This window comes from Homo sapiens, chromosome X, assembly GCF_000001405.40.
Source record: "Homo sapiens chromosome X, GRCh38.p14 Primary Assembly".
Taxonomy (NCBI): Eukaryota; Metazoa; Chordata; class Mammalia; order Primates; family Hominidae; genus Homo; species Homo sapiens.
Genome location: NC_000023.11, coordinates 148,025,878 through 148,037,056, shown reverse-complemented (window position 1 = coordinate 148,037,056; position 11,179 = coordinate 148,025,878). Strand labels below are relative to the sequence as shown.

The 11,179-nt window shown below is 37.2% G+C and overlaps 1 protein-coding gene across 1 annotated transcript in view; it reads right to left on the bottom strand.

Annotated features, from left to right (window-relative positions):
* The window catches only part of FMR1NB (FMR1 neighbor), a 45,329-nt gene continuing 44,541 nt past the window's right edge, over positions 10,392 to 11,179 (bottom strand). The window contains exon 6 of the mRNA NM_152578.3: positions 10,392 to 10,555. The gene's annotated coding sequence lies outside the window, so the exon portion shown is untranslated. The remainder of the gene's footprint in view (positions 10,556 to 11,179) is intronic.

Here is an 11,179-nt window from a genome sequence, read left to right as displayed (position 1 = left end):
TCTAACTATTCAGTAGTACAGCCTGTACCTCTCCTCAGAGCCACTCTGAACCCCTCTCCTTCTGCATTTTTACTTTTTTCCATACTACTTACAACATTCAAGTGCATTATATAATTTATTTATTCATTATGCCTGTTGTTTCTTCTCTTCTTACTCTCCATACCCCCATCACTAGAATTTAAGCTCCTTGAGAGCATTGCTGTATCACAAGCACCCAGAACAGTGCCTGGAATATAGTAAGTCCTCGACAAATATTTATTAAATAAATAGACACATTTTCTCTTTTCTTCCAGAAAAGTCACTGCCATTGCTACTGTTTTTGAAACACTGCCTTCTTGTGCTCCCAATCTGCAGCTTCCATTCAGTCCGCACTGCATTTAACACATGCTATGTTCTGAGGAGAAATGGAAAGAATGCTCTTCTTTCCATAGGACTCAGGCCTAGTCTATGGAGCCAGTCAAAGGAATAGGCATTCTGCTCACCCATTGATCACCAAGATTCTTCCCTCAAGGGCCAGAAAGTAAAACAAACTCCTCCAAGGCCCCAGTCCCAATATAATGAACCTACGGAAACGGATGCCCAGATATGTCTGAAATTTAGTTTTCACTCAGATATAAACTTCTGCTACTATAAAGTGATTAGAGTAGATGAGTTCTGGTCTTTTTTATTGCTTAACTTTTATTTAAGGTTCAGGGGTACATGTGTAGGTTTGTCATGTCATGGGTGTTTGGTATACAGATTATTTCATCACCCAGGTACTAAGCATAGTACCCAATAGTTATTTTTCCTGCTCCACTCCCTCCTGTTACACTCCCCCATCAAGTAGGCCCCAGCGTCTGTTGTTCCCCCTCTTTGTGCTCATTGGTTCTCATTATTTATCTCCCACTTACAAGGTAGAACATGTGGTATTAGAAAATGTGGTAAAGAAAATGTGATGAATATACACCATGGAATACTATGCGACCATAAAAATGAATAAGATCATGTCCTTTGCAGGAACATGGATGGAGCTGGAGGCCATTATCCTTAGGAAACTAACACAGGAACAGTTCTGGTCTTTTCTAGTTCTAAATGTTCTTGTGACATTTCAGCTTAGTGTTTACAGTTAAATTAGCACATTTCCAAAGTTCTAATTATTTGTAATGCTTATTCCAAGTATGACTCTCTACTTTTAAAAAGCCTAAGTTAAATTACCTAAAAGCTGTTCTGGGAGCTGTTTTATCATGAACATGCATCCCATGACTGTCTGTACTGGGTGAAGGAGTTGATATTCTGAGTGCTCATTCAACTCGTTAGGTGATTTTTTTTCCCCCTTCAGTGAATCAACTGGTCATTTGACTGGACTGTCCAAATAAACCAGTTGTAGAATAATGTTTTGGAAGGGCATTTCTCTAAAGTCAGCAAGACACTGTGGCCTATATAAGTGAAAGTAAACAAAGCTATATTTAGCTTTCCCTTATCTATCACATTATTTGGCAAGAGACACAGGCATCAGCCAGCCCAAGCGTCTTCTCCCAGCTTTGGTGCCCAATTAAGACAGAGTAGGCAGGACATAAGAGGGTCATGTTGGCTTTTCCTGGGAGAGTCTAGTCTATTTGACTTATTTTATTGTTGTTTCTATATTTTTAAAAATTTTATTTTGTAATGCAAAAGTTGTCAAAATCAAAATGCAGTTACTAATGTTAAGAACACCCTAACAAATAGAGTCAGGAAACGCCATGAAGAGAGGGTTCTCATGCTTGTATGACCAATAACAAAAAATAAATTTCAGAATACTACAAAAAACACAACCTTACACCAGGGCCATCACAACCGAATACATAAAAATACTTCCACAGGACTATCTGCCCAACAACTGCCTGTCCAACCTTGGACGGGTATCACCCTTGTTATTGATCTTTGTAGCCAAAGATAATTATTTCAAAACAAATATACAATTCGCCCCATTTTTTCCTTGAAAAAGCTTTGTCTTCCTTTACTTCCCTAAATATGACATGAGTATTCCCATTACAATACTCTATTCCCAAATAAACATCTTTTCTTTTAAAGAGGTTTCTCTCTGTTTGTTATTTAGGTTAACAGAAATAACGACAGATTCATTAGAAGTTGCAAAGATGAAAAAGAGGGATCTGGTGTATTCTTCACCCAATTTCCCCCAATAGTTACATCTTACATAACTACAGTGCACTATCAAAACTTGGAAATTGGCATTGGAACAATGTGTGTATATATAGTTCTATTCCATTTGATCACATGTGTAGATTTTTTGTAACCATCACTGAAATCCAAATGCAGAAATACAGTAAGTCCTCACTTAATGTTGTTGATAGTTATTGGAAACTGTGACTTTAAAGTGAAATTATGTACAATGAAGCCAATTTGACCACAGGCTAACTGATATAAACAAGAGCCAAGTTTCTATGGTATATTTCTGGTCACAAAAACATCACCAAACTTTTAAATATAGACCTCAAACACTTCTAATATTAAACACTGAAATGAATGCAAGCTATCCCTACATTTTAAAAAGATTAATGAAAACAAGATAATTATTTACCCAATTTTTGGTGAATCACTGAATGACAGTGGTCATAGTGATAATGGATTAAATAAAGAAATAAATGTCTGCAAAGTGAACATTGTTAGGAACACCTCCTCCCACCACTCAGTTCAGAAACAAGCAATAACATATATGGCAGGCTCACTGATCACTTTCTTACCATTTCATGTATTGTCATGTATGTGTAAGATTACCGTAGGCTTTACAAATTTTTATTTTACCATAATTTGTACTCATTCATTCATTCATTTTCCATCCTACTTATTCCAGTTTAGGGTTCTGGAGGGCCAGAGCCTATCCCTGCAGCTCAGGGTGCAAGGCAGTAACCTACCCTGGCCAGGACAGCATTCCATCACGGGGTACACTCACGCACACCTCCACACTCACTCAGACAACGTAGACAGGCCAATGAGCCTAAGGTGCACAGCTTTTGGATGTAGGAGGAAACTGGAGTATTTAGCGAAAACCCACGCAGATATGGGAGGAACATGTAAACTCCACACAGACAGTGGTCCTGGCAGAAAATCAATTTTTTTCCTCATGGATGTTATGAGGAAACATTGTTGAATGAAACAATGTTATACGAGGACCTGCTGTATTCCATCACCACAAGGATCTCCCTAGTGCTAAACATTTACAGTTACACCCATCCTCCTCCTCTCTACTTAATCTATTTTTAGCTATTTAAGGAATGTGCCGCAGCAGATGGGATTTTCCTGTTGTGACCTATACCTAAAAACTCCGAGAACAGTTGTATCATTTTCATTGCAAAGAAATCTCTGACAACTTGTCAAACCTCTGTTTTGAGCCTAAGCTCAAAACTACCAGTTTGCTTTATTGCCGTAAAAGAATCTGAGCTATATCAGGGCCTTTCTAGGGATATTTAATATTCAAATATATTTTAATTAACTTATTCTATTCTTGTTGGTATTGAAGCCTAGATTTAAAAAAAAAAATCCCTTAGTAAGCGATTGTTTAAAATGCCTCCTCCAATGACCTAGTTACATGCTCAATAAGACAATGACGACTAGATCTAGGGCTCTAAGGAATAACATTCGATAACTTTCTATCTCCAATGTGCAAAAGAGCTATGGGTCATAAGTATTTAAAATGCAAACCCTCTCATTATAACGGAAACATTCCCACTGTGTTACCTCTTCCAATCTGCATCATTTTTCTTCCCCTACCCCACCATCCTTTCCTTTTTCCAGCTACTCTTCCTGTAAGATTTCTTTTCCCCACCTATCCACAATAACTTTTCCCCCACAAAGACACTGAAGTCAATTATACCTGCAGAAGTTTAGGTAGCTATCAAAAAATTTCAAGGACATGAATATGTGATACATTTTTCCAACAAAATTGGAATCCAACTATATAGAGAGTTTTATAATCTGCTTTTTTCACTCTACACATGAGCATTTTCCCATGCCATTAAACATTTCATTATTATTAAGGGCTAAATAAGGAGAATTCTGGCAAAAGAGCAGATTGAGCTGATATGAATATATACTTTCTGCTTAAAAACATCTAGGAATGCTGAATAAAATATAATGCCTAAACCATCCAACTTTAAGGTATAGCCTAGCTTGAAAGGAAAGTAAATTTCCAGGGGTCATAAGGAAAGAAAGAAATCAGAGCCAGAACTAGGATGACTGTCTCAGGTTTCGTATGAAATGTTCCACATACAGGATAACTCTTCCATCCTAGGCAACCCGGGTAATTGGCCATCTTTGCCCAATGCAGTTAAGTAAGGGGAAGCAGTTATGTGTTTCAGGCCACATTTAGGCTCTAGGGGCTGGGTCTAGCAATTTTAATTCTCTTCCTAATCCCTGATTTGGACTTTAGAGGTCATTTCTTTCTCTTATATAATTTCTTCGGCTAGATCTTCCAGTATTATGTTAAATAGTAGCTGTGATAACAAGCATCACTGCCTTGCTCTTGACCTTAAAGGGAATGCTTCTACATTTTCTCCATTAAATATTTTTATTTTGGCTTACTTTTATAAGGTTAGGGGAGTTCCCTTCCATTTCTAGTGTACTGAGTTCTTTAAATCTGAAATCATCATTGATATCTATCTATTGCTTTCTTCTATAACTTTTCAGAAAATCATGTAATTTTTCTCCTTTGTTCCATTAATGTAATTATACTCCTGCACATTCCAGCAGTGAAACATCCTTGAACTCCTAAAATAAGGTCTACCTAGTACATCGTGAGATTACAGATAGGTAGATAGATAGATAGACAGACTTGGAAGATTTTTATATCTATGTCTGTAAGTTAAATTGGCCTCTATCACTTTTTTCTTGCACTATCTTTGGCTGGTTGTGATATCTACAGCATATTAGTTTCATAAACATGATGAGCAGCTTTTTCTGTTCTTCTACTTTGTAGAACAACATATATAAGATTGGGATTATTTGTTCTGAAATTTCAGTAAAATTCACCTGAAAAATTTGGGGTCTGACCCTAAGAACAAGTAGGGGAAAGTAAAGATTGCAAAAAGAAACCTTTACCCTAACCACTCCACCATACGTAGGCCCTATCTTGTACATTTCCCTTCATATACTGGCCCTGCTCAAAGATCTTTGAAAAACTTTGTTGTTAGACTTTTAGACTTTTCATTGCTGTTTGACACCAAGTTCCATTAACTCCCCTATCAATCTTTTGGCACTGGCGGAGTGGAATGTGGGGGAGGGAGCCATATATAATAACTTGATTTGCCAAATATGACAACTTCTGTTCAATATGACCCAGTATGCTGATTTAAAGGAACTTTGCAAGCAAGAGGAAACATAGGCCTTTAAAAATTTTGTCAATTGCCTTCCTTTGCTCTTACAGCACATTCAGACATTCTTTGCCTTTCCGATGTCATCTCTCTTTCCTGTTTGCTCAAAATTCCTTAGAACTTTGGAAAATGTTTCCCTGCTCTACCCACCACAAAGAACGTTAGGCACCTCTCCTCTCTGTTCCCATAGCAGTGATCTGTTTCTAAGTCTAAGGCACTGTTGACAAATGTCTGCCCTCATTATATTGCAAGCTTCTTAAGGAGGATTGTGGCTATTCATTTTTACCCTCTCCCAGTATTTAACACAGTGTCTAACATACAGTAGGAGGCTGTTAAATTGTGTTGAATGATTAGCGTAATTATAGAGAATGTTATGAACTAATTAGCATCTCATAACCCAACATATACTGTCTTGATTATTTTCAGAGAACTTTCCTCTAGGAGAAGACAGGCAACTATTATTTTTTTCTTATCATTTGGGCCAACATCACTCAAGTAGTGTGTACAAGCCATGAGAAGGATTTAGGAATCCTGACTAGCAAGCAATGGACCTACCCATTAGAGTTCTACCCCTCATACTTCCTCTTACCTGTCAAGTCATAGTTTCAGTGCATTCGTAACACTATTCTCAACTTTTAAATTTCAAAGAGTCATTTCTGCCTATTTATTCTGCCTTCACCTACTGTATCCTGCCAGTAAGTGGGCAGTGACTTTGTGGTTCTGTCCTCATGATGCAAATAGCCAGGCTTGGCTATGCAAGAGACTATAATGCGTGAAATTAAAATAAGCCTCAATTAGACAGCAAACACATACGCAAAATGTAGAGTTCGTGAGAGCAAAAATGTTTGTCCATTTTGCCCACTGCTATATCCCTGGTACATAGAACAGTAACTGACAAAAAATAAGGGCTCTATAAGTATTTCTTGAATGAATGAATGAATGAATGAATGAATGAATTGCTGAGTATAGTGTCCTGATAGTACTATAAACAGTGCATTCTGCTTTATATATGCACTCCTGCAAAATTGAAGCCAATGAAATATTTAAGTAGAGTTTATTATTCACAATACACCTTGATATCCCTTGCTAAGCACTGCATCAATCCTATGAGCTAACCTATTTCTTAAGGCTGGCTTCCTGAGTATGCAACTTATGCAGTCACATAGCATCTTGTTCTTAGAAGGGTCCCATGCTTGGTTTAATGCTCTGCTGTTGCTATCTTGAAATAGGGCCCCATATTTTCATTTTGCACTAGGCCCCACACGTCAAATAGCCAGTCCTGCTAGTCCTGAATACCTTTCCATTTGAGTTTGGCACCCTTGAAGTTATAACTCATCTACAGGTAAATTCTCTTGGCAAGTCCCCTGCCTGAGATGTGGGGAGGGCAGCCGCTAACCTGGAGTGCCCACATATTACAGCTTGGACTGGGGCTCTAAATTCAGGCTGGCAATCCCGTAGTAGTATCAGTTCTCCCAGTCCCCACAAGGGAAATTTGTGTATCATTTAGACCATAAATACAAAAAGCATTCCAAAATGTCATAATGAATAAAATATTCCTTTATTACACTAAAGAGCCACTTATTTTATAGAGCTTCCATTGTCCACGATGCTGATGCTAATAGCCAAGAGAGAGCTTGTCCACATTTTCCAAGTGACTGAACTTTACATGTATCCAGATTCTCTACCGAAGTCTGCTTGTCCTAGGGCTGAAGTGAAAGATCTTTGTTTTTGACCACTTGGTGATCCTTGGTTTAAAGTCCCTGTGTCTGTGGAAGTAAGGAGATTGTCTAGCACCTCTGGCTTAAAGCAGTCACCCTAGTCAAGTTAAATTCAGGCTCTTCATCAGAGAGCTTCTCATTTAGCTAGTATCTTTTCATTTGGAACAGATATGGTCATGGCTTGAGGGAAATGACTCTGTGACCATTAATGCTTGTACATTAGTGACACACTTATTATCTACCCATCTATGACTTGCAGGGCTTAAACATCCATGTCAGACATGATTTGGTACTGCATTAGGCACTGGTGTTGGAGACAGCATTCTGAACAACCTTATTTCCTTCCCACTCTTGTGAGTCCCTTTGGCATTTAATCGTTAATAATAACAACCTTCGATTGCCTCAATTCTCATCTCTGGTCCAGCATTTATTCTACAGCACTAACTGTTCAACAGTCACTCTAAGCTCACACTCTTTGACAACTTAATGATAATCTTTGTCTGTGTACCCTGAAACCTAACTTCTAATCTGTTAAAGAATAGTTGCAGATAATTCTTCTCTATTGCTTTCAAAGTATTACTTCAGACTATGCTTATCTTCTTTATAGATTACAAATGGCTTCACTAAAATTTCAATATTAGGTTTTAAAGCAGGAGTGTCCAATCTTTTGGCTTCCCTGGGCCATACTGGAAGAAGAAGAATTGGGCCACACATAAAATACACTAACACTAAAGATAGCTGATGAGCTTTAAAAAAATTTGCAAAAAAAACTCTTGTAACGTTTTAAGAAAGTTTACAAATTTGTGTTGGGTAGCATTCAAAGCCGTCCTAGGCCACGTGGAGCCCATGGGCTGCAGGTTGGACAAGCTTGTTCTAAAGGAATTGTTTTCTTATGTGTTATTTTATTATTTATTTCTACACAACAAACTTTTTTGTTGCTCTTTTTATTTTGTTTTTGCTGAATACAGCTCTGAAAATTTAGAGCAGCAATATCAGATTCTTGGGAAATAACTTTCAAAGCAAACACTTGTTTACTGAACTCTGGTGATCATTTGGTATACATGATGACTCCTTTCTAAGATTTCACTTTGCCTTGGAGATGCCTGTTCATCATAGCAAAAGCGAAGAACTCCACAAGTCATTTTTGTTTCTAATTCAATTATACACACAGATATTTTATTTGCTGAACATCAGACACTGTCCTAGGCACTTTAGACTATGATGGTTAATTTTGTGTGTCAACTTGACTGGGCCATGGGGTGACCAGATATTTGGTCAAATATTATTCTGGGTGTGTCAGTGAGGGTGTTTTGGGATATGATTAACACTTAAATTGGTAGACTAAGTAAAGCAGATTGTGCTCCCTCACATGAGTGGGCCTCATCCAATCAGTTGAAGGCCTGAGTAGAACAAAAAGGAGTGACCTTCCTTTGAGTAAGAAAGAATTCCCCCTGCCAAAATACCTTCAATCTGAGGCACTGGCTCTTCCTGAGTCTCAAGCCCACCAGCTTTTGAATGGAAACTATACCATTGGCTCTCCTGGTTCTCAGGCCTTTGAACTCAGACTAGAACTAAACCCAGCTCTCTTGGATCTCCAGCTTGCTGACCCACCCTGCAGATCTTGGGACTTGTCCACCTACATAATCATGTGAGCCCATTTCTTATAATACATTTATTTGTGTATATATGATATGTTCATATATATATAATACACATACATACACACCCTAATGATATCTGTACAGCTTTCTCTCCCTTCCTTCCTGAGATTCTCACTCAAATACCATATTCTCAGTGAGACCTACTCTGACCACCTTATGTAAAACTACATACTTCCCTCATACTCCCTAGTACTTTTCCTTGCTTTATTTTTTTCCTCCTTAGCACACGTTATCTAACATACTATGTATTTTACTGATTGATTTTGTTTCTTTTCTGGCTACTTCACTAGAATGTAAACTCTATAAGGGCAGATATTTTTGTATTTTTTTTTTGCTTCTGTCTCCCCAGCACCACAGTACCTAGCTCATATTGTTGAAGAAATGAATAAATGACCGCATTATTTTCATTTGCATCCAAGTGAGTTGCACTGAAAAGTTTGGACTCCTGATTCAAAAGGGTATCTGCAACAGGTCTCCTTCTGTCTGGTGTCTATCAAACATCTCGACAGCTTCTTCAGAAGGTAATCATACTGCTGTCTTGATAAATCTTGCAATGCACATGTTGTGGATCTTACCTTCAGCAAGCATTTTCAATTGTGGGGCTTTGTGCTTTGTTGGCTCAAATGACGCCTCCTGCAATAGAGCACATATGGAGATGTGCACATTTCCCAGGTATGGTGTCTTTATGAACCTCCGTTTGACAGGAACTCTTTTATTCTCATTATATCTGCGAGCTTTGGATCTATCTAAAGTTTTTGTAATAAGAGTTTTTTCTTTTCTGATCACCAAAAACCAAGACTTCTTCCCTCAAAATTGCAATCTATTCATATCATAACTGAATCCTGAGAAACTTGAGTGTCCTCCCCTTTCAGTTCTTCTCATTCTCCAAGCGACTACTAGTCTGGGGCAAGGTGCCCCTGTTATGTGCTGCCACAGAACTTGGTACTCTTCTTATCATAGCCCTGTCATTACTTCTTTACCTGGCTTCCTCTCCAGCTATACTGTGAGTTCCATCAAGACAGGGCCAAGTCTGTCTTGCTCATGACTCTATCTCCAAGCACACAGAGTGCATGGCACATAACAGGAACTCAATAAATGTTTGCCACATGAATGAGTAACAAGCCCAGGTAAACCTGAGTCTCACATATTTCAAAAGAAAAAAGTGAATCATAAGACATAATTTTTAAAAACAGCATAATAAATTCATATATATCACAGAACACAATTATTTAAAAAGAAAAGAAAACACAACAAGGTAACAGTATTTAGCACTAGTGAAATTATGATTTGATTTTTTCCTTTATCCTATATATTCTTCTTTACCAAATTTCCTGTAAGTGTATTTTACTTTTATAGTGGGAAAAATAACATTATAATTTATAAAATAAAAAAACCCTACAAATTATCTTCACCTCTTTTCCTCAAAATAAACAAAGTATCACACACTGCAACATATGATCATTGGGGTTTTTCTCTCTGCTTGCTGACAGGTGAATAACAATATGGAACATCTGTCTTATTTAGTACCAACAGAAGTATATGTTGATACAATAACCCAAGTTGCAAAAATCATGTAACTTTTTAGGATCTGAATGCCACCGGTGTTTTAGGCATGTTTTTAAAGATTCTGTAGGAACTGTTTTTAATAAAAAGAATTCAGATTCTGGTTTGATGCATGAAAACAGAACTCAATTTTATTTCATGTTTGAAAGTAAACATGACAAAAATAAGAATCAATTTTTAACTTTCCAAAATGCTCCATGAGGTTTGCATGGCTGAGACAGTCCCCTCTGCTCTGAATGGTTTCTGTTGTCTTGAGGGGAAAATAATGCTATGGGAGAAAAGTAAAGTAGGGTTAAACAACTTGAAAAGGCTGGTATTCACATATCGCACTTTGTCATAAAAGAAGTCCCTGCAACAAAATTATCAAATTCTATATAGTGAATGTTATGATTAACTTATGTATTTTCAGTTTGCCAGTACATCATCTTCTGTTACTGTGAGGCATACATATAAAACAGATTAGAGCAAATATCATTACAGAGATAATTTCTGAATAACAAAGTTAACTTCCATGTCTCAGTGAATGGTCCACAGAAACCAAGTTTTGTTAGTCTAGTTATAATGTTACATATGTATATATGTGTGTGTACATGTGTACATATGCACACATGTATTGCATTAAACTAATACAAGGTAATATATTTATATGAATAATAATACACAGGCATTATAGTAATACATATTTATGTGTTACCTTAAGTAAATATGTATCCCATATATATATATGATACCTTATATAAAGATTTTCTTTTTTTTCTTCTGAGATAAATCACTTTTCCTATTCATCAAATCAACCTTCTCATTCTGAAGATTGGTGAAATGAAGCCCAAGAAAGTTAAAGGACTTGCTCAAGCAAACACTGTAAATAATGGCAGAACTGGGACTAAAGCCA